Source organism: Homo sapiens, chromosome 1, assembly GCF_000001405.40.
Source record: "Homo sapiens chromosome 1, GRCh38.p14 Primary Assembly".
In the NCBI taxonomy this organism is placed as follows: Eukaryota; Metazoa; Chordata; class Mammalia; order Primates; family Hominidae; genus Homo; species Homo sapiens.
Genome location: NC_000001.11, coordinates 171,185,300 through 171,212,807, shown reverse-complemented (window position 1 = coordinate 171,212,807; position 27,508 = coordinate 171,185,300). Strand labels below are relative to the sequence as shown.

Genomic DNA, 27,508 nt, shown 5'->3' with positions numbered 1-27,508 from the left:
ATTCTGCCTCCTTGGAAACAGCCAAAGTTGCAGGTCAGGAGCAGCAGCTTCCCGGATGAAAGACTGATGGTACAAAAGAGGCTTCCCTTTTAATCCTCATTATAATGTGGATGCTGGATTCTTTCTGGGTTAAGCATTTTCAATCTTTATTATTTGAAATTATTGTTTCAAATTTTATTACATACCATGGCCCTAGTATTTTGTTTAAAATATCTTTATTTTTCTGTAAAGAACAAGTGTGCCATATTTAGCTTTTGATAGAAAAAATTAAGAAACTATCATAAAGGGAATAGCTAAAAGAAAGGTTAGTAAAGGGAGCCATCACAAGGAGAGATTTTGGAAAAGGGTGGTGTCTTAGTCCATTTTGTGTTTCTGTAACAGAATATCTGAGACTGGGTTATTTATAATAAACAGAAATTTATTTGGCTTAGTTGTAGAGGCTAGGAAATTCAAGACCAAGGGGCCAGCATCTGATGAGGGCCTTCTTGCTGTGTCCACCCACGGCAAAGGTGAAGGCAGAAGGGAAAAAGAGTGTGTGAGGAAAAGAGGGAGCCAAACTTGCTTTTATAACCAACACACTCCTGAGATAATGGGATTAATCTTTTCATGAGGGCAGAGACTTCACCTAATCACCTCATTAGGCCCCATCTCCCAATACTATTGCAAGTTTCAAACACATAACTTTGGGGGACATATTGAAACTATTGAAGGTGATAACCATTGACATTCTTTACAGGAGAAGAACAAAAATTGTAAACTGCAGTTGGAGGACCAAGGCTGAACAGAAGGAATTTGTCCTTGAAGAATGGGAAATTTCATGGGCTACTCTCTGAAAGCAATTTTTATTTTTATTTTTGAGAGATCTCAAACTAATGGTTTCTAGATTTAATGTACACAGGAATCATCTGGGGAGCTTATGAAAACTGTGGATTTCAGCAGAGATTTCCATTCAGTAGGTTGAATTATTACTATGTTTATATTCAGGAATCTTCACTTCTATAAGCTCCCTGAGTTATTGTGATGTAGGTGGTCTGTGGCTAATATTTTGAAACAAACTACTCTAGATGGTTTTCCTGGGATAGTTTGATGTTCAGGATATATGGAGGCAGAAGGATAGACTGATGAGCCTTCTTTAACCTTTGAGTCAACCTCAGAGGTAGGGTTCTCTATAAATAAACTATTTACATTTTTCAAAGATACCAGAACATTTGGAAAGATTTTGAGAGATTTCTAAAAATTTTAGGGATATAAATTTAATAATATTTTCCTAGTGGAGCTATATTTCCGCACTGATTTAGCATTAACCTGACAAATGCTTTTCAATCTCTTCCACTGTAGAAGTAAGATAACAACCATAGCTACTAAATGGGTAGTGATAATGATGAAATAAGGCAAGTTATGCAAAATGGGACAATGCCTTACATATTATAAAGCAGGAATTATCAAACTTTTTCTGTAATGGGTGAGAATGTAAATATTTTAGCCTTGTGGGCCACAGAGATTCTGTTGCGACTACCCAACTCTACAATTGTAGCTTGAAAGCAACCACAGAAAATAAATGAATGAGTGTGGCTGTGTACTATTATAAAATTTTATTTACAAAAACAGATAGTGAGCTAGATTTGGCCCACAGGCAGTGGTAATTCACTGACCCTTGCTATAAAGGCTTGATAAATTTTATTAGTATTATTAATACAATGACTTACAAATAATCTTTAATACTTAACAAAGCAATATATTTTTTAACCAAGAACTAAGTATATACCTCATTTACAATTATTTTAAAACAAATTTGCTTATGGGAGCAATGAAAAAAAAAATCTTGCCTGTAAATTCTGGTGTAACTTAATTGAATTTTAAAGAAAAAGTTTTAACTACAGAGACTGACTGACATTCCATTGTTCTACGTCCCTGAGGGAGAAGTACCTTAATTGAATTTTAAAGAAAAAGTTTTAACTACAGAGACTGACTGACATTCCATTGTTCTACGTCCCTGAGGGAGAAGTACCTTAATTGAATTTTAAAGAAAAAGTTTTAACTACAGAGACTGACTGACATTCCATTGTTCTACGTCCCTGAGGGAGAAGTACAGGCCAAAATGAAGAGCAATGTTCACAAAGGCTTGGTAGAAATAAGAGGAGAAATTTGCTGGAATCTTCAACATCTCTGACCTTTGTTCTCTCTTGGAAGGGCTTGGTTTGGACTCAGGACAGAGCTTATCTTCCAAAGCACAGTTCAGGGAAGGAGCAGCTGTAACAAATGTTCCCTTAGGAGATGTTTGTCTATTATGTTGCTTAATGTCTATTGACATTGAATTGCTTTTGTTTGTTTCAGACTTCAATTCTAAAAAAAGTTTGTCTCTGCTAACAGACCAGTATACTTCCTTTTACCAAATGTTAGAGGTTACATATTGTTTATTTAGCTTTTTGCCTTAGTTATCTGTAAGACTGGAGTTAGATACAAGTGTCAGTCATTATAATGCTTTGCATCTACTTGAAAGATACACTTTTTTTCCTCAATTCTTATTTTTCCAAAATGTCAAAGATTATCCTAAATGTTATTGCATAGGTATCTTTCATTGTAAATTCCTTCAGATGCTTTTTAGATCTAGCTGAAATATAAATCAAAAATTATAAATAAAAGTAATTTGGTCATATTTGGCAAAAAGAATGCTGTTTTCTATGTAAAGGGCCTCCCAAAGTAGCAGATGTATGGGTATAAATAAGATAAACTGTTAGTAAATTCTTTATAAATAATGAAGTGTTTTGTAAATAAATATATTACAAGACAACATTATGATCTTTAGTTCTAGAGTTCAACAAATCTGAGTTCCAATTCCAGCTGCCTCACAAGATCAGCTGCTCTGAATCTTAGTTTCATCATCTGTGAAATGACTATAATAGCTGTAACCATTTCACAGAATTGTTGTGAGAATTAAATGAAATAATACATATGATATGCACATAGCACAATGTCTGGCCTATGATAAACATTAAACATATATATTTGTTAGGTAGCTATTATGGCATTTTAATTTTAATTTTTCCAGCAGTATCTCTGTCAAAATATAGGAAATGTGGCCATTTGCTTAGCTCTTAATATGAGGTCCTAAAAGTTTATCTGAGCATCACTGATGTTTTCTAAATCTATCCTCTCACTTTTTTGTCTAGTAGTTTTGAGTGATCCCCGACTGAGCAAATGAAACATGACCTAACATCTGAGAACTTTGTTACCAAGTAGGGTGGATAGAAGACCATCAGAAACATTGTTCAGGAGTTTTAAATATTTACCCACAATTTAAATTGTCCAATAATTTAAACCATGGGCTGCTTTTCATGCTGTGTAATTCTACTATTTTTCCATACAACTCCCCTATATCAGGGTTGGCAGCACTACTTACCTGAGCCAGTCTTATTTTATTTTACATTTTGGTAACTTTGGTGAACTGAGGGAAGCGTGGAAAGGCAAAATTTCATGACAAAATTTTGGTTTTGTACATATGCCTAATTCTGCTAATTCTTTACAATTTCCCCCTTACCTGTACTACCTAACTCTAAAATCTATAATTAGAACATGAATGTAATGTTTTTTCTTCTAGCCTTTTTTTTTTTCTTTAGGAGGTAGTGACTGACAAGATAATAAAGCCCAAAGCATTATGCTGACTAGGACCATTGAAGTTGGCAAAAAAAGGCCACAACAACAGCAAGAAGGCCCAGGATTTTCAACAGAAAAGAAACTGAGAAATTAGATGAATCCTTCAGGGCCCGAGTCTTGAGTGGCTTCAGTATTCTTTGTTTCTGGGTGAAGATGGCATTTCTGGCTCCTTCCCATTGCCCAGGCCCAACCAGGCGATACTGATAGGAGTTGCAGGGTCCGAAATAGAGTCTCACAGCCAGTTTAGGATCTTTGAACAAGAGAGAGCAGAAATCTGGCTTCGCACCTATCTCTAAGGCGAGCTCGTCCAAGTAGTCAACATAATTGGTCTGCAACGTCTGGCTCTGGCTTTCTCCAAACCTTAGTGAAGAAAGTAAAAAGGGAATGTTCACAGAATGTTCTAAGTTTTCTAGAATATTAGGCATTCAAAACTGCTAAAGGAATGAAGGAATGAGTGAATATGTGAATGAGTTTTCAATGAATCTCTGGTGGAAAGTTTGAGTTTATCATACCAGGAGGCTCATATCTCAGATTGAGAATACGCCCTCAAATAAAGAGCCATGAATTCATGGATGCTCTAGAAATGTGACAAGATTGGTAACCATTGTTTGGCATTTTTTAAGCGGTGGCAAATCTCCAGGCAAGTACATGCTAGCCAGGGCGGCTGCAGGAATTCATGAGATAATGCATATGAAAGCATAGCTTGGTGTCTTGCTCAAAGGAGATGCTTAATATTTGCTTGTTAAATTACTAAAGTACCTGGCAGTCTGGATGGCGTATAGTAGATACTCAATCAATCTTAGGTAAATTTGAATTTGAACATGAGAAAACTCTTTACACCTGATGTAAGCCCCAAATCAACTTTCCAAGGGTACTCGATCACTGTTGAACCTCATTTTACCTCATCACAAAGTACAAATCCTTGAACCTTCACACCAACCCCTTCCTAATTTATTCTGATGGGGATTCTCTAACTTTTCACAGCTATTCAAGCTACTATCACCACCACTGTCTCATCCTATTCCCTCTCTAACCACAGAGTGTAGGTGGCTTGAGAAGTTATGGAATCTGACATAGGCATCATATACAACTGAAATGAAATTAAGCCAAGGAGAAGTGCTCTGATTTGGTACAATTCTTATCTTTAAGTATTTGGTTCTTAACCTAGTATGTATAAGAATCGCTTAGGAAGAAGATAAAAATGCAACTTTTTAGCCTCACACACGGAGTTTCTGATTCAATCATCTGGGCTATAGCCCAGAAATTTGCATTTTATCAGGCAGCTAGGTGGTTCTTGTAAGTAGTTAGATCACTGTACTTTGAGAAACACTGCTTCATGTAAAGAATTAAAAAAAATTCTTACAGGTCAATTCTTTTTTCATTCCTTTTGATAATGTCCATCATCATAGTTCTCTCTGAGGGCAGGCTACACAAGCCTAAGGAATAAAAGGTTGGTTTGAATAGTAAGTTTGAGTCAATATCATTACTTTGTCTAGTTGTTGATTCTTAAAATTAAACTCTGGACATTGAACCATGTCATACCAGTCAGGGCTTCCGTGCTGTTGAACTTCAGGGGGTGCCACCCCCATAGCACTCTATGTGACACTGTCCAGGGTGCACAGTCTACGGCATGGACTACAAGTGGAGAGGGCCAAGAGAAGAGGCTGGAAAAGGGAAGTGTGTCTGGGAGCCTGGCAGCCATGACTAGTGGTTTGGGCTCTATCCTGAAGGTGACAGGAGGCCCCAAATCAAATCAGTGGAAGAGTATTCTGAATGAAGTGAGAAGATCAGATTTATTTTTTGGAAAGATCTGTCTGGCTGCTGAATTTAGGAAAATGGACTCCAGGGAGGCAAGCCCAAAGCTGGGGAGACCAGTAAAGAGGCTGTTGAAATAAACCTGGTGAGAGATGAGAGTAGGGCAGTAGAGATAGGGAAAGATTGATGCAGAAGTTATTACTGTGTGCTCATGACTCCATCGCCTGCCCACAAGTGTCCCCTGAGCTTTGGATGTGTTGAAATATGGTCAAGTCCCCTTGCCTAGAGTCATCAGACATCTCATGTTCAAGTAGTCCAGACCTGAGCTCCTCACTGAAGCCCTCCTGTCCAGACTTGCATCATTTTCTGCACACCCCCTCTGTATTCACAGCACTACTGTCCACCTGGTTTCCAATGCCAGAGATCTGTAAGTCCTCCTAGATTCCTCTCTATTTCTCTGACTTTCCCACATTGAACCAATTATAATGTCATGCTGATTTTTCCCTTAATGATTTCTCACATTTATGGCTTCCTTTCCACTTTGTATCTCTGCCCTGGCCCAGGATGCATCATATTTTAGCATAGGCTATTTCAGTAGCTTTCTCTTTCATCCCTGAGGCTGTAGTCTTTCCCCACTTTCAAATCTATATTCCACACTACTGCTGAAACAATCTATCTGAAGTGTAAATCTGCTAATGCCTGTTCCTTGCTTATAACCCTTCATTGGTGCCCCGGGCTGAAGAGCTTTCTAAAATGCAGATTCCAGGTCCCTTGGCCAGTCTTACTTAATCAGGGTCCCTAAGGATCCATCAGATGATTTTCATATGTAGCCATATTTGGGAAGAACTGATCTATAATTTATAATCTAAGCTCCATAGCATGTCTTACAAAATTCCTGTGTCCTGTCTCCTTCTTCTCCAAGAGTAATGGCTCATCTCTCTCTGCCTCATACGTCATGCTCTAGCAATGTCAAATAGCATGTGCCCTTCCATATGCATCATTGACTCTATGCTTTTGTTCAGGCAATCCCCTTTTCTGCCCCTGAGAAATGCAGTTATCCAGGACGTTTTCCTTTATCATGTGCCCTTCCCTTATTCTACCATGATAAGTGCCCTTTCTCTCCTTCCCTGAACACTCCATATATTATTCAATCAAAGCATTTGTCATGTTATGTTGAAATGATCTGTTTAAATTTCTCTCTGTCCCACCAGTTCCCAGCACAGGGCAAGGTATTCAGTAAGCTTTTGCTGAACAGAATTGAACCCTGGAGGCAGGGAGGTAACACCGTTCTGAGGAGTATGAAGTGCTACACAGACACCCAGAAAGAAACCTTTTAATAATTTTATAACTTGTAGGGATTTGTGAGGTTGAGCTGCTCAAGTATTAAGAGTTAAATTGATTTGCAGATATGCTGAGGAATTTTTAAACAACACAGAGGTAAAACCAGGAGACAGATCTTTTTCTTAAACTTATCTCTCACGATTCAAAGAAAAGTTAACATGCACTTAGCTTTATGCCAGTTGAAATTCTCTTGACTGTCTAATATTTTAAAAGGATGATTGCAGGTATTTATTATTACTAAATTCCTGTATTTGTTATTCTTTGAATTCTCCAGTAACTTTTTAGAATGTTAGTCTTGTGAGAGCAGCCAAGGTTGTCAAACTTTTTCTTGGCAACCTTTTTATCTCAGGCAACCTTCTTATCATTATTGATAAACTTCACCAGATCTGAAACGCTTAGCCACTCACCTGCCTACACACTTACCTTTGAAAACTCTTGTCACCCAACGAGCTTGAAGTTCAGCAGTTGGGAAAATGGAACCTAGGGGCTGGATGAGACCAATGCACGCGAGGGTTGACTTGTCCAGGTGAGCGGGGAATATGTATTTATACAGTGAGACCATATTATTCTCTACTTTAACGAGTGAATCTTCAAGGAAGGGAAAAGAGAAACTATATCCTGTTGCAAAAATGATGACATCAATGTTCTCCTCCACTGTTCCATCCTCAAAGATGGCAGAAGTTTCTGTGAGCTCTTTCACTGTAGATTTCACCTTGATGGCTCCACAGAGTAGACGACTTGGGACATCATCATTTAGTACAGGTTCCTTCATAATGTATCTGAGACATACAGAAGAAAAACATTCTGAAGGATCATTTGCTGAGGAATCTTGAACCCTCTTGATATTTTTGGGGTACGGCTCTGAAAATAAAAGGGCTTTTCAAATATCTGTAAAACTCTAACTTAACTGGTTGTCTGTGCAAATCCTTATTTTCTGACTTAATTCTCATGTCACAAATATCTCTTGTCAATAAATAAGGGAAAACATGTAGGCAACGTGAGTGAAAGAGATTTTAAGGAAGGAAGCATCCCCAAGGGCTTAGACAAAATGCCTGTGCCTATGGTCAATCCCCAAGTATTATGGTGGTTATTATACCATTTCTGTTTTTAACCTTTTTCATGCTATCTAGCTTTTATTATTTTGCTGTTTTATTTAACCCCTATTTGATCATAAGAAAAAATTTGCTAAATTTCCACTAGTTTTGAAATCTATGAAGGGATCAATGTGAAAATTAATGTATAAAATTAGGTTTGGTGATATTTGTTAATCCCAAATATCCATGGAGTCTCTGTTAGTAATAGCATGGATGTTGATGCAAAGTCCGCTTATTTTTTTTGTAGATTTGAGAACATTTTCTTTTTCTTTTTTTAATAGACGATACGTGGCACTTATGTCAGATCTTAGAATATGGTAGTTGCACGGCAGGCATTTGTTAAAAGATTCTAAAGCTCTTCTGTTTTTTTAAGGGAAGAAGCCTGTAACAACTAAAGCAAAAGAACCATTCATAACATTTGCTTGTGCTTAAATCACTGACATATAACTTTGACGTCAACAGAGATTTGTCTTTTAGCAAAGAAAAAGGAATGTGTTTTCAAAGGTTTCCCATGGGAAGAACCTTCATGCTATAGGGTTAGCAAAGCATAAATTATTAGATGGAGAATTACATGTTTCCCACCACACCCCTCTGAAAGGCAGGTCGTAATCTCTTGAAACAGTTTTCTCCAATGTTAGATAACTCTGGGTATTAGAAAGTTCTCCCCTAGTTTTGCTTTCTGGAGCAGCTTATAACACTTCTGCTTCATCTTCTTAAGTATTTTTTAAAGGCATACAGAACAAATTTAGAAGCTAAACTCCAGGACCTATAAGATACTCATATTGTTAGATTGTAGTTTTAACTACCGTGTTAGCAATTTGAATCTTTGTTAAGGGAGACACCTTCAGACAACTTTGCTCACCAACGAGTATACCATTAAAAAAGCAAAATAACTCTACTTGTTTTGAGGCTCAAGGCCATAATTTTCATGGTTGAACCACCGATTCATCTGTTGTTCTATCATCCATTTTACAGCTGTTCGTGGCAGTACATTGCGGAGCATAGAACGAAACCGGGTGTGGAACACTGAGTCCCAAGGATAGCCATCTTCAGAGATACGGCTCATGACCCAGGTGCCATGCCTGGTGCTGATAAAAACCTGGCAAGCAAAAAGAAATGCAGTTTAAATTAGGGCATTGTCCCGTTTAGGAGGAATCTACTATGAAGGTCATGTATCACATGTGTAGCCCCAGAATTTACAGAGGTTCTGTTTTAAAGATGATTGACCTCAATGTAAAGTACCTCCTAAATAGGGGTACCCAGTGGCATTTACACTGATGCAGGAAGACTGCAACAAAATCTTGAGAACTTCATGGAGACACGAGAAAGTCTTTGGGCTAACTCTGATGATAAAATCCACAAGTCTTTCCCATGTTTACAGTTGTGGTTTGCTGCTCCTTAAGAGAAAGTTCCTCCCTCCCTCCTCTCATGTTTTCCACTCACCTAAGTTTCTTCTATAGTGCAGGTAGAATGATTATAATCCTTGGAAATGTGCGATTATAGCCTAGTGACTACACAAGTATAAGTGTATATGCATCTGAATATCCCTGGATGGAGAATAACAGGGGAAATAATCTTCCTTCCATACTTAAAAGACTTTATTTTGTGTGTGTGTGTGTGTGTGTGTGTGTGTGTGTGTGAGACAGGGTCTTGCTCTGTCACTCAGGCTGGACTGCAGTTGTGCAGTCATAGCTCATTGCAGTCTCGACCTCCCAGGCTCAAGTGATCCTCCCACCTCAGTATCAGACATGTACCACCACATCCAGCTAATTCAAACAATTTTTTTGTAGAGACGGTCTCATTATGTTGCCCAGGTCGGTCTCAAATTTCTGGGCTTAAGCAATCCTCCTGCCGCAGCCTCCCAAAGTGCTGGGATTACAGGCATGAGACACAGTGCTTGTAATGTATTTTAAAAGTTAAAAACTCTGAACTTATACTGTGATTCTCTTTCTCTTCAAGTGCACATCTGAATCCTCTTTCAGGTGTATTCTTTACCTTGTTTATTAAGATTTCCCTTGTTTCCAAAATGTACATTTAATCTCTTTTCAAATGTATATTTTGCTGTGTTTGCTGTTACTCCCCCATTGGCCAAATGCATACTTGAACTGCTTCTTAAATTTTTACATACCATGCAATAAGTTTTTGTTTAAGGCTATACTTGATAAACACATAAGATTCACTTGCAAGGTAACCAATTTACTTGAGAGGTTTGGATACAGACTGCTTGGGTTTGAATCCCAATCACACTACTGTGGGTGAACTATTTCAATCTGTGTTGCCATGGTTGAATTATTTCAATCTCTCTGTGCCTCAGTTTCTCTCTCTGTAAAATGGGGGTATTAACAGTACCTACCTCATGGCATTCTTGTGTAGATTAAATGAGGTGGTATATATAAAGTACTTGAAATATTGCCTGGCAAGTGATAAGTACTGCTAGCTGTTAAGTTATAAAGTTAGGCTGGAAGAGAGGAGTTTCATACAGTGCCTTATGTCTGGAGTAAACCAGAATTTGGAGACAAATTTTGTGGGGATGGGCCTTACATTCCTAGCTTGTGAAGTAGCACCTATACCAAGCATTCCTATATTGCTGGTCTGTGTGTGGTATATACCTATGTTCTGAATTTCTCCTGCCGTTGCCCTTATAGGCTGACTTGGCAATACTTTGATTAGATATTAGATACAAAAATATTTTCATTAGTGTCTCTTTCCATTACTTACTGTCCCCTCTTCTTTCTCAGGAGCAAACCATGTTTCAAATGGTATGCTCTGCCCGTTTGATTCACTCTTTTTCTGTTGTGACCCTCCCTACAGCAGGGTGGTCTAACCTGCCTTAATGACACTAGCTGCAACAGTGAGAGAAACATGAGGATTTAGGCTCAGGCTGCTTTCTCTGAGACGCATGTTTTAGGTCAAAGGCCAGAGATTTGGTTTTTGGTCAGAAGTATGTAAATGACTAATATGGTTTGGCTGTGTGTCCCTACCCACATCTCACCTTAAATTATAATAATCCCCACGTGTCAAGGGCAGGACCAGGTGGAGATAATTCAGTCATGGGGGAGGTTTCTGCCATGCTGTTCTCCTAATAGGGAGTAAGTTCTCACGAGATCTGATGGTTTTATAAGGGTTCCCCCTTCGCTCTCATTCTTTCTCCTGCAGCCTCGTAAAGAGGTGCATTCCGTCATGATTGTTAGTTTCCTGAGGCTTCCCCAGCCATGCCAAACTGTAAGTCAATTAAACCTCTTTTCTTTATAAATTACCCAGTCTCGGGTATGTCTACATAGCAGCGTTGAGAATGGACTAATACAATGATGCAGCACCATCCCATATGATCTTGAGTGGTGCTTTTGGATTGTGGTAGAGGGTGCTGTATCCTTATGAAGGTGAATTTCTTTTAACAGAGCAGTGCACACTCAGAATTTTGGTGAGTTCAGGTTGTAATTTCAAGTTTTGCAGATGCGCCTAGTTCCGTTCCTAGCATGTATAGCTCCTGTAAAGTCTCTGGTTAGTCTTTTCACAGAAGGCTTGAGAGTATATTACTCTGTGTAAGAGGTTTTATCATAGTTATAGATTTATGTTGTTACTCTAATAAATATTGAAGAGATTAGTGCAGATGAATGAGTATAATCCTGGAAATGTATGATTATAACATTATATTTAGGAGGAATCTATTATGTAGGTGATGTATCACATGCATAGCCCCAGAATTTACTGAGGCTCTGTTTTAAAGATGATTGACCTCAAAGTGAAGTACCTCCTAAAAAGGGGGCATCTAGTGGCATTTACACTGATAGAGGGAGATGGAAACAAAGTCTTTTGCACTCTGTGCAAAAGATTGTTTAAGAAGCTGTAAGGCATGCATATAGAGCCAAGGTAGTTTCTTAATATTGAATCTCACACCATAAGTCTTCCTGTAGGGCAAGACCCATACAAGGAACTGGTTCTTGCCATCTAAGATTTGATATCTTTGGAATGAAGAGATCTAAATCCAAATCACTGGTCTGACAACGTGAAGTAGTCTAGGATGGATCTTCACTTGGCTGACTGCTATATTAGCTCCTCACATACTGCCCCATTACACACTGTTCCTAAGGCTTTGCGGGTATTCCTAGCATGAAAGAGCCTAGAGCTGGTACTCTCATTTTCCAGCTCTGCTCTTCTCCAGGCTGTCACAGTTCCTGCCTCCTCACTTGTTCTTCACACTGAGGTGATAAGTGACAAGAGGTTTATTTTCACAAAGTGAAGACTTATTGGGTCTAGTAAGTCTCTTTCCGGTGTTAGTGACCTGCTCTGTTCCCGGGCTGGCACTAACTAACTGACTGATAGATGACTCTGACAGGTCCCAGTATAACCCCTTCATTAACCTGCTGGGCGGGTGTCATGTTTGCTTGTAACTTTTGCCACTGGGTATCTAGAGTCCTGAAAGTGTAAGACTTAGGATGGAAATGATTTGTTGGTTGTGCACAGGGCCATGGTAAGCCCTGGGTGGCCAGAGACATCAGGCTGAAAGAGCTAGGGTAAGAGTGATTGGGCATCTGGTTCAGGCCTTCTTGAGAGGGAATACTTTGGGAAAGGATGTTTAGTGATTTTCCCTTCTTTGCCTGGGTCTGTCCTTGCAGAAGGAGTTTAGTTTTTGCTATTCCTGACCACCACTATCAGCAGCATCATCGTGTAATGAATGTTTGACTCTTTGGCAGCTCAGCTGGTGTCATTCCTGAGCAGGTGCAAAGAAGACAGTGGTTAGAAGGCCTCAGGAAGCACCTAAATATCTATGATTTTAGTTGAGAGACCTACTATCTATTTAATCTTTCTTTTCATAATATTTGGGTAACTGAAGGTTATCTATATTTCAAATATAATTCAAATACACACTAAATTTCTAAAAGCCACCCTCCAGAATATGAACAGATTAACCTCTCATTAAACATCCAGGTAGAAACAAGGCCTCTTGGCTGGGTGTGGTTGTGCATGCCTGTAATCCCAGCACTTTGGGAGGCTGAGGCGGGCAGATTGCTTGAGTTCAGGAGTTTGAGACTACCCTGGGCAACATGGCAAGACCCTCATCTCTACAAATATATGAAAATTAGCTGAGTGTGGTGTGGCATGTGCCTGTAGTCCCAGCTACTCAGGAGGCTGAGATGACAGGAAGATTGGAGCCCAGGAGGTCAAGGCTGCAGTGAGCCATGTTGATGAAAGGCCTCTTATATGGAAAATCATCTGGTCAAAAGTTCCCATTTTAAAAATGAGGGAGCCATCTCCCAGAGAAGTGAAATGAATCACTCTAGGATTCATGGCTGGTTATTGACAGAGCTAGGAGGTAAAGTGGTTTCTTGACTTCCAGATTTTCTATGATGCCACAATGCGCTACCAACCAACTAGTTAATGAGGATTGGAGCCGCGATTATATGGCTGGGGTTCTCCAGTATGGCATCCCCACTTCCTCCCCTCCAGGTACATGGTAAGCAGAGAGCATCACACCTGAGCAGCATTCTTACTCAGCTCAACAGCAATATCTGAGCCTGAGTTTCCCATTCCAATCACCAGGATGCGTTTTCCCTCAAATCCATCTGGATGCTTGTATTGGCGGCTATGGAAATATTGGCCTTTGAACCTCTCCATACCTTCAGGGGGAAGAAGAGAGAAGTCTGTGAGCTCCAGAGCAACTATGTCAAGCTAATTTCAATAAAACTGCATTGCCAGCTTTTCCTTTCTGGAGTTAATAATTTGTTTTGCCTCTTCTCTATAGGAGTAAAGCACATAAGAAAGTTTAGGTACCAGACCAGGTGGGGCCTGTAATCCCAGCCCTTTGGGAGGCCTAGGCAGGTTGATTGAGCCCAGGAGTTTGAGACCAGCCTGAGCAGCATAGTGAAACCCTGTATCTACAAAAAATACAAAAATTAGCTGGGCATGGTTGTGCATGCCTGTGGTCCCAGCTACTCGGGTGACTGAGGTGGGAAGATTGCTTGAGCTTGGGAAGTAAAGAATGCAGTGACCCCTGATTGAGTCACTGCACTCCAGTCTGGGTGACAGAGTGAGACTGTCACAACACCAAAACAAAACAAAAAACAAACAAAAAAACAGGACCAAAGGGGTTGATTTTTTATTTCAGAGGCTGCAGCTTACGGCTGCAGTTTGTCTCTATCAGAGACAAATAAATGGTGATGAACACAGCAGGACCAGATACTGTCTTCTGCCTGCCTATTATATACTATTTTGGACTATATAATGACATTTGACCCTTTAATATCACATATTAGGCAAGGTGTGGTGGCTCACACCTGTAATCCCAGCACTTTGGGAGGCCAAGGCGGGCGGATCAACTGAGGTCAGGAATTTGAAACCAGCCTGGCCAACATGATGAAGCTCTCTCTACTAAAAATACAAAAATTAGCCAGGGGTGGTCGTGCACTTGTAATCCCAGCTACTTGGGAGGCTGAGGCAGGAGAATTGCTTGAACCTGGAAGATGGAGGTTGTGGAGGTTGCAGTGAGCTGAGATCGTGCCACTGCACTCCAGTCTGGGTGACAGTGAGACTCCATCTCAAAAAAAAAAAAAAATCACTTATCAGATACTCTTAAATATTTCTTAAGCACATTATGAAGTGCTATTATTATAATTGTGTAATAGTTAGAATACAATTTAGCAATCTTATTTTCAAAAAGTAAACAAAAACTAAAACTAAAAACCAGGCACATAGGAGTTGGTTTCCATATTGTGTAAATCAGTGACTTGCTGGTGGTTAATCACAGACAAGCTTCTTCTGTGTCCTTTCCTAGTTACTACTTTTACACTTCACGGAAACACATGACTTTATAAAGTATTTGCCATTGACGGTGGGGTTGCTTGAAAGAATCTTTAGATTATTGGTTCTCAAAGTGTGGTCACATGGCCAGCAATATCAGCATTGCCTGGTGTTAGAAATGCAAATTCTCAGCCTCATGCCAGAGCTGCTGTCTTAATTTGTCTTCTATTGTTTTTAACAAAATATCTGAAACCGAATATTTTATAGGGGAAGGAAGTTATTTCTTCTGGCACACAATTGTGGAGGCTGAGAAGTCAAGGTTGAAGGGCTGCGTCTGCTGAAAGCCTTCTTGCTGGTTTGGACTCTGAAGAGTCCCAAGGCAGCATAGGGCATTGTATGGTGAGGGAGCCAAGCATGCTAACATGCTAGCTCAGGTCTCTCTTCCTCTTCTTATAAAGCCACCAGTTCCACTCCTGTGTAACCCAATAATCCATTAACCTATTTATCCACAAATGGCTTAATCCATTCTTGAGGGCAGAGCTCTTACTACTCAATCACCTCTTAAAGGCCCCACCTCTTCATACTGCCCCATTGGGGATTAATCTCAATATGAGTTTTGGACAGGACATTCAAGCCATAGCACCTATTGAATCAGAAATATGGAGGGTGGGGCCTAGCAATTTGTGCTTTCAAAAGCCCTCCAGGTGACTCTATTTGAGAACAATTGCTTTAGATGAGCAGGCCTTAATCCTGACTGTATATTAAAATCACCTGAGCAAACTTTCATTGCTCTAACCCTACTCCATAGTGTTTGAATCTTTGGGGGTAGGTCTCCAGGCCATCAGGGCTTTAGAAGCTCCCCAGGTGATTCTAATATGAGGCCTGGACTATGAACCACTATATTACATATTTTCCTAAGGGCCTTGGGAAAGAAGTGTGTTCTCTGAGGAAAGACTTGGGTGGACCAGAACAGCTGGATGCAGGGTTCTATTCCTGCACTTCTCTCCCCATCACTAACTTGCAAAGCATTTCTTTCTAGGAGCTCTCCCCTTGTGTGTGAGTATGGCCCTGTGAAAAAGGCTCGGTGTTTGGCAGGGTAGAAAAAGGCCAACGCAGGCACATGGCTAAAAGGGCCTCTCCAACAGAGAACCAGTTTGATGTGAATTCTCTAAAATTATGCCAAGGACTTAGTGACTTCCAAGGAAGTTGGCTCTGAGATCTATGTGTGATGAAGACTCAGAGGCCAATAGAAACAAAGATGATGTTTGGTGTCTTTCATCTTTCTAGCTCTGTCTCAATCTTATTGAGCCAAGTTCTGCCCAGTTGCAGCAATGAATCCTGCTTGTCAATCCAAACTACATATAAAGTACCTGGAAACCTACTCCAAAAAGCTGGGAATCCCAGCGGGTCTCACCTGGAAATGACTTCAGTGGGATATGAGGTAGAATGTGGTGGCCACTGCAAACCATAACTGCGTCAAAGACAGCACTCTGCTCCTTGCCGTTGCTCTGAGTGACAACCTTCCATTGGCCAGAGGATGAGAAATCTGGACATTTTCTCACACTAAGGACAGTTGTCTTGAAGAAACACAGAGAAGGCATCATTGAGAATTACTCCAGGATAACATTGGCCAAGTGTGTCTTTCTCATTGCTGCTTCATGCAAGAGGCCTGACTCAGCAGTGGGACTAATCTGTTAAGGGTGTTGAATACTGAATAAGGACTTGAGAGAGAAAAGAAAAGCAAGTTCTCATGAAAACTGTCAGAATCTAGATGGAGTCACTAATGTTAAGAAACCCGACAAATAGAATTGGGAAAGGCCAGAAAGAGCGGGTTCTCATGATGTGTGCCTGATAACAAAAACTACAAAAACCACCACCTTACACAAAGACCATCATAATCTTACACAAAAATGACTTCTACAAGAACATCTGCTCAGTAACTGTCCAATCTCAGACTGGCATCACCCTTGTTATTGCTCTTTATATAATTATTTCAAAACAATTATGTAATTGTATTTTTTCCCCATTTAAAAACCTTTGTCTTCCTTTAACTCCCTGAATACACAAATAGTTTACCATGGCATGTACATTCTCATTACAATGCTCTATCACCAAATATATATCTTTTCTTTTAAAGAACTTCTCTCTGTTTGTTATTTGATAATCTGAACAAGGAAACAAACCAATAATTCAAGTGATCATGCAATTGGCATATGTCAGGAACGTTTTATGTAGCCGCCTCTTTGTGGACTTTGTATTAGAGAAGATATTTCACGCAAAACACTTTGCAGAGTGCCTGACACATGGTCAGCATTCCACTGAATGATAGTTTTTAACATTTGCTATTTTTAAAACAGAGTACATCATGTGAGCAAGACAGTTCATGATCTTATTTGAATAAAATGATTTATTGGTTCATTGATTTTTTTAAATGTAGCTCACTGGAGGTCTGTTAATTTTTAAAATTGTACATAAATGTTTCATATCTGCTGGATTAAGAAACGATGTCAAGTGGAAGCAAAGTTTATAATGCTAGAGGAATGGCATGCTTCTCATTTGCAAGTATTTTAGTCTTTTATATATCTCAAATTTTCAGATATTTTTCCAACTGCTGGGTTGGTAATTTTTAAGCTGTCTCAATTTAAAAATGTATATGGAATATTAGTAGAAATCTTGTAAAAGGGCTTTAAATATCTGGGCAGTTTTCAGATGAAAGAAAAGATTTCAGATGGTAGTTCAAAGTAGTATATTAACTAAGTGCTGTAGATCCTTGCTATTCAAAATGTGATTTGAGGATCAGGATCTTCAGTATCACTTGGAGGCTTGTCAGAAATGCAGAATTTCAGAACTTACCCCATACCTATTAAATTAGAACCTACATTTTTAACAAGATATCCAGGTGATTCATGTCCACATTAAAGTTTGAGAAGCACTGATGTAGATTACATTGACAATCATAAGCAACAGGGCTTGTTACAGTTTGCCTGCTTCTCGAGTTGAGCTCTAACACCTATGACTTACACCAACTCAGAGACCAATAAACAGAAACCTTTCTTCCCAACCCCTCTTCACTCTCCAAGAAACAAAAGTAGCAGTAACACAATAACCAAGAGAAATGACTTCCTTGCGACTCTAACATGATCTTTAAAAGAATGGAATAGAAGTTATTTATCATAAAAAGGCGAGATATTTGTTAAGTAGATTGATAGTTAAGTGCACAAAGTTACAAAACCTTCTGGTATACATAATCTGTTATTCACAAGTTAGATCTACCAGGAATTGGTGAAAAACTACATTAGGTAGAACTGGACATTTTAATGGAATTTATAAATACAAATTTTCACCAAAATTTACTATTGTAAGTTGATATTATATAAGCCTAGTATTAGAATTACTAAGAAAATGACATGTATTAAAAATAAGCCTCACTAACAGTTATTTATCCAGAAATGTTAGTTATTTACTTTGAGACAGGGTCTCACACTGTTGCCCAGGCTGGAGTGCAGTGGCACAATCACCACTTATTGCAGCTTTGACCTCCCAGGCTCAAGCAATCCTCCCTTCTCAGTCTAGAATAGCTGGGACCACAGGTGGGTATCAACATGCCTGGATAATCTTTTAAAAATTTTTTGTAGAGACAGATTTTCACTGTATTGCCCAGGTTGGTCTCAGACTCTTGGGTTCAAGTGATCTTCCTGCCTCAGCCTCCCAAAGTGCTGGGATTACAAACATGAATCACCATACCTGGCCAAGAAATGTGATTTATATTTTATTTTCTAAGCATAGTAGCTATTTCTCAAAGTATAGACCATTGATAAAAATTCAGCATGCTTAATTAAAATATTGCTTTTTGTTGATTTTGAGGAAGCACAGGAAAAGGTAATTCCAAGTGTTTTTCAAAATGATCTGGCCATCTTTAGGTTGTAAGAGATTGCATTCAGAAAAAAATGATAAGCAAATACTTCCCACAGCCTTCTAGTATGAACAGAGACCAATGAATTTATTTAATACACATCTAAGAAATCCCATTTCTATGAAGAAGCTAAGAAAACAAAACAGCAATTTAATTTTGGTATACGCCCTTTCAAGGCAAATGAAGCTAGGTGTATTCAATGATAACAGATATTAGTTTAAATGAATTTTTGAGGCTGGGTGTGGTGGTTCACACCTGTAATCCCAGCACTTTGGGGGGCCGAGGCGGGTGGATCACTTGAGGTCAGGAGTTCGAGACCAGCCTGGCCCAAATGGTGAAACCTCGTCCCTACCAAAAATACAAAAATGAACCAGGCATGGTGATGTGTGCCTGTAATCCCAGCTACTCTGGAGGCCGAGGCAGGAGAATCACTTGAGCCTGGAAGGCAGAGGTTGCAGTGAGCTGAGATCATGCCACTGCACTCCAGCCTGAGCAACAGAGTGAGACTCTGTCTCAGGGAGAAAAAAAAAAAAAAAGTTTTGACATCAATATATTATTATTCAAACCTTTAACTTTAACAGATGATTTTCCTCTTCAATTAATGTATATAATCTATAATACCAAGGGTAATGACACTACTTTTTGGGTTTTATATGAGGCTGTTATATTTCAACAAATACTTAGAATGGGATACTTCATTCATAATTGCTTTCATTATCAGAGTAACTTTTCTATCTAAATATGAGCTGAACTAATGCAGAGAAACCCATTTCCCCAAAAATACAATACCTGGAACTGAATATATTTTAGCAGATCAAATTTTTTAGCAAAAATCCTGAAATATTCCAGAAGTTTAGAATTATGCAGGAAGTTTGGAAAATCTTCAGGCATTGGAAAGTCACTGAAACAGGACATTTCTTTGCTGGTGTTGGTAACGACAGATTGATAGATACTTGCTCGGCCATCTTCCACATTCTCCTGAAGGATCAAATAAAATAATTAGTGATAATTACGCATTCAAAAATTTTTTGTTTTTTACTCTTCCTACATCTAACCCCTGGGTAATGCGATTGTCTTTGGTTGCTGCAGTGTGACGACAATGTTTAGGTAATGAATGCAGTCTATGTGTTCCATCAATCATTCTGTGACGACACCAGTTTGTTGCCTGCCTGTGACGCTCACTGTGAGGGGTAGGGGTAATATTGGCAATGGTGAGGTTGGGGACAGGGACAATTATTTTGGCACATTGCAAGATATTAGCATCCTAGGTCTCTACCTATTTAATGCCAGTCTTTGTGACAACCAGCTTACTTCCTAAATTCCCCTTGGGGAGGCTGTATATACCCACTACCTCTTTAGAAACCAATAAACCCTGGGACACTGGGCAGAGAACATAATAGAGAATTTCAGTATTATAAAATGAGTACCTTTGGAGGAAGGGAGTTTGCAAATTTTGATTTGAATCCTTTTACACAAATCAATCATTGTCAAGCTATAAAGGTGAGTAGACTGATAGAATCAAATCTTTTTTTTTTTTTTTTTTTTTTGAGACAGAGTCTCGCTCTGTCACCCAGGCTGAAGTGCAGTGGCGTGATCTTGGCTCACTGCAAGCTCCGCCTCCCAGGTCCACGGCATTCTCCTGCCTCAGCCTCCTGAGTAGCTGGGACTACAGGTGCCTGCCACCACGCCCGGCTAATTTTTTTTGTGTGTATTTTTTAGTAGAGATGGTTTCACTGTGTTAACCAGAATGGTCTCAATCTCCTGACCTCGTGATCCACCCGCCTCAGCCTCCCAAAGTGCTGGGATTACAGGCACCACCATGCTTGGTTCATCCACTGCACCTGGCCAGAATCAAGATTTAAATGGTAACTTTGCTATAATTTCAAGTAACTTGGTAAAAGTTAATCAGGTTAAGGTATGCTAGCTTTCTAGGTAGTTAGAATGTAGTATGGTATTATTGTTAACTATACATATTAAGATCCAAAGAGAGTTTGCACTAGAATACAAGGGGGTTTCTGTCTCATATACAAGGATATAATAATCTGAACTCTGGATAAACAAATCACGGTACAGTGTTTTTATTTTCAAACAGTGGCTTCAAATTGCATAATACTGATGTCAAACTGATGTGTAAACTATTTCTGGATGTTTCAGCATGATTGAATGTAATGTCATTGGCAAGACAATGAGTTTCTTAATCAAGTTCTCAAAATGGAAAATATTTTATGAAGAAAAAAATACTATTTTTTCTCAAGACCAGATTATTATTATTATTTTTGAGACAGGGTCTCACTCTGTGGCCCAAGCTGGAATGCAGTGACATGATTATGGCTCACGGCAGCATCAACCTCCTGGGCTCAGGTGATCCCACCTCAACCTTCCAAGTAGCTGGGACTACAGGCGCGTGCCACTACACCGGCTAATTTTTTGTATTTTTTTTTTTTTTTTTTTTGTAGAGATGAGGTCTTACCATGTTGCCCAGGCAGGTCTAAAACTCCTGAGCTCAAGCAATCCACCCACCTCAACACCCTAAAGTGCTGGGATTACAGGTATGAGCCACTGCGCCCAGCCCCAAGACCAAATAATTTTATGAGTAGTATAGAGTAAATAGGAGGGTTCTGGAGTCACACCGACTGGATTGATATCCTAATTCTGCCACCTTTAATGGCTTGTGACCATGAGCAAGTTACATAGGTCAGTTTCCTCATTTTCCTCTGTAAAATGGGGCTCATTAATAACTTAAACATGCAACAATTGTTTCAAGGCTTTAATGAGAGTGAATAAAGTACTTAGCAGAATCCCTGGCTCAAAATACATACTTAAGAATATTTATCTCTTTTCTGTTATTATTGGCCACTAGCGTTAAATTTACTAAGCCAGCCATAGTTTTGAATCAGTTAAACTAAGACTGTTATACTACAGCCAAAATGCTAGTTTTTAAAAGACCCAACAATTTGGCTTAAAAATGTGGTTGGCTTCTCTATCAGGTCAATTTTAAGGGAATTTTGAGTGATGAGAAGAACTGATTTGATGTCTGAGGCCCTACAGTAATCTTAGGGCCAGGGCAAAACTGGCCTTTGGGAGATTTTACTTGTGTAGTCTGTCAGCAAACAATAATGACCTCACTATTTTTCTGAAGATCAAGTGATAATCCCTTTTTTTTTTTTGAGACAGAATTTTGCTCTTGTTGCCCAGGCTGGAGTGCAATGTCATGATCTCGGCTCACTGCAACCTCCCCGTCTTGGGTTCAAGTGATTCTCCTGCCTCAGCCTCCTGAGTAGCTGGGATTACAGGTATGCGCCACCATGCCCAGCTAATTTTGTATTTTTAGTAGAGGTGGGGTTTCTCCATTTTGGTCAGGCTGGTCTCGAACTCCCGACCTCAGGTGATCCACCTGCCTCAGCCTCCCAAAGTGCTGGGATTACAGGCGTGAGCCACCGCGCCCAGCCAAGTGATAAACTTTTATTGTTGGGTTAATTGGTAAATAGCAGCTAAAAAAGACCCCCTTGTCTTCATATGTGCTTCCTTCTACATTTAGTTTGCTGAAGTAGGCATCTGTGTATTTAGACAAATCTGGGTAAAATTGGCCTAGTTTTCCTAGTTATGAAGAGATGATTAATGTTGATTTAATAGACAAGTATGTATCAAATGCTTGAACTGACCAGGGCCTGAGCTTGGATTTAGGGATAAGATGCTAACAGTACAAACATAGTTTATATCTTTATGGTGCTTATTGTTATATTGTATTAAAATGCACTTGAACTTTGGAGATGTGAAAGTGGAGACAGAGGGTTTATTGTCAATCAAGAGGAGGACAGAGGCACAGTTTTCAAAACAGATAAATTTAACTCACATATTTACTTAAGTACTACTACTGCCTGGATAATTAAGCATAAATATAGTCTGAATTTCCTTATGTGTAGAATTTGCTATAATTTGTTTAACATAAATTATCATATAATAAAGAATTCTTCTAATATAGAATTTTCAGAATGTCAGAAAACTCTAGCAAACCAAGTTAATTCAGATAGCACTTATTTAGAATTTATGATCTTTTGATCACGAGCTGAATTGAAGTTTATGTTTGACTTCATGACAATAAAAAGGTTGTAAACAGTAAGTTTAAAGAAGATTATAAGGGTAATATTTAATCTACTCAAGTGAGGAAATTTATAAAGCAGAAACAGATTTATTTATTATAAATGTGAATTACAAAAACTTACAAATTAAACTTTTTCTTCGTGAAACATCATTATATTGACCCTTACCAATCAATATTTTTGCTTTCATGGGTAGTTACCATAAGCAGTTAGAAAGAATAAAATTGCCTTTCTTTAAGAATATTCTGTGATTCTATCATTTCACTCTTTCGGATGGACCTTACATCTATCTGCTCCATTACTTGAATTGAATATGATTAAAACTCTTCTTACTTCCTTGTCCTACAATTAGAGGCAAAATTGCAATTCCCAAATGCCAGTCAGTGGACCAGTTGCATTAGAAGATGGGTCCAGATGTGTGGTGGCACAAGGCTGTAATCCCAGCTAAATCGCTTGAACCCGGGGGATGGAGGTTGCAGTGAGCTGAGATTGCGCTACTGCCCTCCAGCCTGGGCAACAGAGCGAGACTCCATCTCAAAAAAAAAAAAAAAAAGAAAAGAAAAAAGACGGGCTCAGATTTCTGTATTTTAGAAGCTCTCCCTAGCTGCTTCTGCACAATGAACTTTGTGAACCACATCTCTATTAGAGTATTGCTATCTTCTGTCATCTTTCATTAGGCTGGTGTCTCCCTTGATCACTGGCCTTGATCACTGATAGAACCCCCTAATTAAGTTCCCTGGCTCAGGTATTTACCACTTTTTTTCTGCTGCTTTCAAGCTAAAAGGTATACACTCATTGGCAATATGTTTGGAATGTTGGATCTTGGGGGAGCCAAATTTAAGAGAGAAAGTGATATTTCAGATTGAACTTAGAGGAAGAAAACCAAGATTGAGATATGTCTAGAGAGTATTACATGAAAATTAAAATAACTAAACATATACATCTGGAAAAGGAGGAGATCCAAATCCAAATATTAAAAGAAAACCCACAGGAAAAAAAATGTACATGGTAACTCCCACGTGAATACAAGGTATTAGGAACAATAAAGGAAACAGAGAAGGTTAGCGGCTGAAAGAAGATCATGTTTTCCTCTATCAATACTTCAGCAAGGTTATTAAGTGTGACAGCTCCGAAATTGTAAACCCTCGTTTTTTTTCTCCCGCCACCTATGTTCCCCTGAGCAAATTCTTTATCTGAAAACTGTTTCTTCTTAATATGTAAATAAAGATAATCATAATACATACTTCCTAGCAGTATTGCGAAGAAAAGAAGGTGATGCTTGCCAAGTGCTTCCCGTTGCTGGAAACAGAACGAAAAATATATGCTAATTACCTACCCGTCCCATGGTCCATATGTGCCACTAGGGGGTGCTGGAGAGTCTGGAAGAACTCTATTGTCTGGGTTGGGTATAGGACAAGGATTCTTAAATTTACTTATTTATTGTTAACTTGTCACCACCAAATATGTTAAGTAATCCCAGTAGGAGTTGTGTAAATACAAAAATTAATAAATAACCCATTTAAAAAATTGCTTCTGGATGGTAGAGTAGTGAAAAGGCAAAGTTTCCCAGGGAAGAGCATGGGGCTCCCAGCATCCTTCTTGGAAACTCCCAGTCACCTGGTAACCAAAACCCTCACATAGCCGTAGTGCAGGCAGCCTATGAAATTTTGCTTATTTTATGTTTCACTCTGCAGGGAGACTCTTTGGACTCTTTGACTTCGTTGAGTGGAGACAATAGTTTACATTCCTCTATTGGATATAGTTTTAAGAGAAATTTGAAATGTGATACTGTTACAAGTTCCACAGTTATATACTTAACCCTTAATATTCAATAAAGCCTAATTAATCAGGTTTTAATCCAGTTTTTCTAGTGAATAGGAAGTTATCTCTAATCTGAAATTTTAGATACTGGCAAAAGGATAGTTGGAGAAATATTTTACTGCAGAAAATACCTTCCTAGAATTCATCAAATCATATTGTTGGCAGACTGTTCAAACTAACTCTCATCTCTTTTGCTGACAATAAATCTGTGGGATGTGAGTATGCAAGGATTTTGGTATACTGGGGGAGGGAGGTTGTGGAGCCAATCTCCTGCATATACCAAGGACCAACTGTAATTTCTACATTTCTTGTTTAGGTTAAGAATCTACCTGGGAGCAAAAAAAAAAAAAAAAAAAAAAAATTCCAGCTGAAATCTACATGTGAACCTAGAGTGGACAAAAATATCTTTGGTTAAGACAGGAATGACCACCATATTATATCACCATCCCAGGAAAAACTAAAATGATATTAATCATCAGCTTTTAATAAGAAATGAATGTGATTTAAGCTGTTTTCCTTTTTGCAAAGCTACCCGTCTTACAGAAGAATCAATTTCTCCCTTCTCCCTCATTAACTCTGAGTGTGTTTAGATAGTAGAATGATCAGATTTTTAAATTAGGTGTTTGTGTAACAATTACCAAATTTGTCTTATCATAGGATTCATTTGAGATGTTTATTAAAAACCCCCAGAAGATTTTGATTCCATAGATTTGGGATGGAGTGCCCACAAATCAGTATTTTTTTTTTTTTTTTTTTTTTTTTTTGGTGGCAGGTTTAACCAAAGGAATCAGTATCTTTAAGAAACTCTCCATGGCTGGGCATGGTAGCCTGGGTGACAGAGTAGGACCCTGTCTCAGAAAAATATTAAAAAGAAAATAAAAGAAACCCTCCAGGTGTGGTTTATGGTCATGTGTACCTGAGACACCTAATGTTACATGTTAAAAAAGATCGCTGTTGGCATGAGATTCAATTTGAACTGACAAAGCATGCGCAGGTCCTGGATCACCTTGCCATCCTCCTAACTAGTCAGCCTGCAGTGAGAGCCCTTTATATGGTCTCTGCTGATATGAGTTTGATTTTCATGTATTCAAACCTTTTGTTCCCATTTGGAATATTCTTATGTGTTTTAATATCTCAGGGATACCTGATTACATAATTCTAAAGTCATTGCTTTTGGGTTCTGAACTTAAACTTTTGTTTAATCTTTTTGAGCAAGAATGCAAGTTAGGGCATGGTTGTAAGTCAGGGCTTATCTGTTTAGAAGTCACGTAGGCCGTGGTTTGAAGGCCAGTTCCTCCAGTTGTGTGGCCCTGGCCATCTCACTTAACCTCCCTCACTTTCAGTTTGCTCATCTATAAAATATATAGTTATTATTAGTAGCTAACATTTATTGAACTCTATGAGTCCGGAACTTATCTAAGTTCTTTATATGAATTATCTCCCTTAATCTTCAAAATAGCACTATGAGATAATCACACTTTCCTGTTATTATATCCATTTATAACTGAGTAAATTGAAACACAGGATGTAAATAACTTGCTCAAGATCTCACAGCTAGAAGGTGGTAAGCTACTACCTATTGAGAGGTTGTGGGAAGGAATAATTGTAACTCCTTATAGCTATCTATGCAACTTTCTAAGTTTTATACAAATTTTTAAGGACAGTGACATGGTTTGGCTTTGTGTCCCCATCCAAATCTCATATTGAATTGTAGTTCCCACAATCCCCACATGTCTTGGGAAGGACCTGGTGGGGGTAGGTAATTGAATCAAGGGGGCAGCTACCCTCATGCTGTTCTCATGATAGTGAGTGCGTTCTAATGAGATCTGATGGTTTTATAAGGGGCTTTTCCCCCTTTGCTCAGCACCTCTCTTTCCCACTGCCATGATTGTAAATTTTCTGAGTCCTCCCCAGCATTGTGGAACTGGGAGTCAATTAAACCTCTTTCCTTTATAAATCACCCAGTCTCAGTATTTCTTCATAGCAGCATGAGAATGGACTAATACAGACAAATAGCATTATCAATATTTTGGTTTGATTAATAGAATAAATTTAATAAAACATATTTAACAAAGAGTTTCACAGCAGTTATACTAGAATGTCATTGATAAAGCTCAGTAAACAAACATGCTTCATTTGTCAGAGAAAAATAGTAATGATAAGAGCATGGTCTCTAAAGAAGCATTTGGTTTAATAATTGAAACAGAAGTGATATCTTGAGAAGAATCCCTGTTACTTCTATTTTTGTAAAATGTTCTCTAATATTAGCGTATTAAAGAATGACAGAAGTATGGGCTGTAAGACAATTGCTGAATCCAAAAGAAGAGATCTTTTACATGCCTGGGTCAGCTACCTGGGTTGGGTTAGTATTGACTGGGGGAGAGATGCCAGCCTATGACTTCAGTTCCATTATGGCCACATCAATAAGTAGAAATAAAATCTGATCAGAGTTGTTTAATAAATTTCTCAATATGACCCATCAGTAACTGTGATTCACCCTGAAATAACAACACAACCTGTTCAAGACCCAAGAAAATCTCACTTACTTTGAACCTCCACACTCCTCCAATATCTTCAGTTCTCTCAAAGCAAGTGGGCTCAAGTCCCTCATCCACACAGCACTTCAGAGAAATTAGGCCACTGACCCCAGCTCCAATCACAGCTACCTTCTTTGCCATCAGCTCCTGTCAAGGAGTTGATCAATCAACATTACTTAACTGGGACAACCGGTAAGAGAATCCTTATGATGTGCTCAGGTAATTGGCTTTAAACATTGTAGCAGTGGTAATTTAATAAGCAGCACTATTGAATAAAGAGCCAGTCAAAAATCCTGCTCTCTTCTTGCCTTTGAGAAAAGCTGAGTTTCTTATGGACTTTGTTGCAAACCTTGCTTACATCTAGCTTTAATATTTAAAAGCGACCCATTGAACAAAGCCAGACTATGCAGTAACATACTAGGGATGTGAGCCAAATTTCCAGCTAGAGTTCTGAGCTTTTCCTTTTCAGCTTCTTTCCCCAGCGATCATCCTTACCTTTGTTTTTGCCTTTTGGCACCGTCTCTTTGACAGAATAGTTTTCTCCCTTGGTTGTGT

The 27,508-nt window shown here is 38.9% G+C and overlaps 1 protein-coding gene and 2 long non-coding RNA genes across 6 annotated transcripts in view; 2 read left to right on the top strand and 1 right to left on the bottom strand.

The window, feature by feature from the left end:
- The window catches only part of LOC124900413 (uncharacterized), a 28,272-nt gene extending 11,554 nt beyond the window's left edge, over nucleotides 1–16,718 (top strand). The window contains exon 2 of the long non-coding RNA XR_007066731.1: nucleotides 15,870–16,718. This is a non-coding gene — a long non-coding RNA (uncharacterized LOC124900413). The remainder of the gene's footprint in view (nucleotides 1–15,869) is intronic.
- The window catches only part of FMO1-AS1 (FMO1 antisense RNA 1), a 131,518-nt gene that overhangs the window by 39,082 nt on the left and 64,928 nt on the right, over nucleotides 1–27,508 (top strand). The gene's annotated exons all lie outside the window — the stretch shown is intronic.
- FMO2 (flavin containing dimethylaniline monoxygenase 2) lies at nucleotides 122–27,508 on the bottom strand. Of its 3 annotated transcripts, NM_001460.5 has the most exons (9): nucleotides 27,449–27,508; nucleotides 26,963–27,100; nucleotides 19,285–19,473; nucleotides 15,997–16,159; nucleotides 13,320–13,462; nucleotides 8,744–8,943; nucleotides 7,174–7,529; nucleotides 5,018–5,090; nucleotides 122–4,014 (listed from the first exon to the last, which is right to left on the bottom strand). In NM_001460.5, exons 2-9 carry the CDS (start codon nucleotides 27,092–27,094, stop codon nucleotides 3,663–3,665), a joined length of 1,608 nt encoding a protein of 535 aa, NP_001451.2. In that variant the 5' UTR covers nucleotides 27,095–27,100; nucleotides 27,449–27,508; the 3' UTR covers nucleotides 122–3,662. The 3 variants fall into 3 exon arrangements, with proteins under 3 accessions (NP_001451.2, NP_001352829.1, NP_001288276.1); NM_001365900.2 differs by lacking the exon at nucleotides 26,963–27,100; NM_001301347.2 differs by lacking the exons at nucleotides 13,320–13,462; nucleotides 26,963–27,100.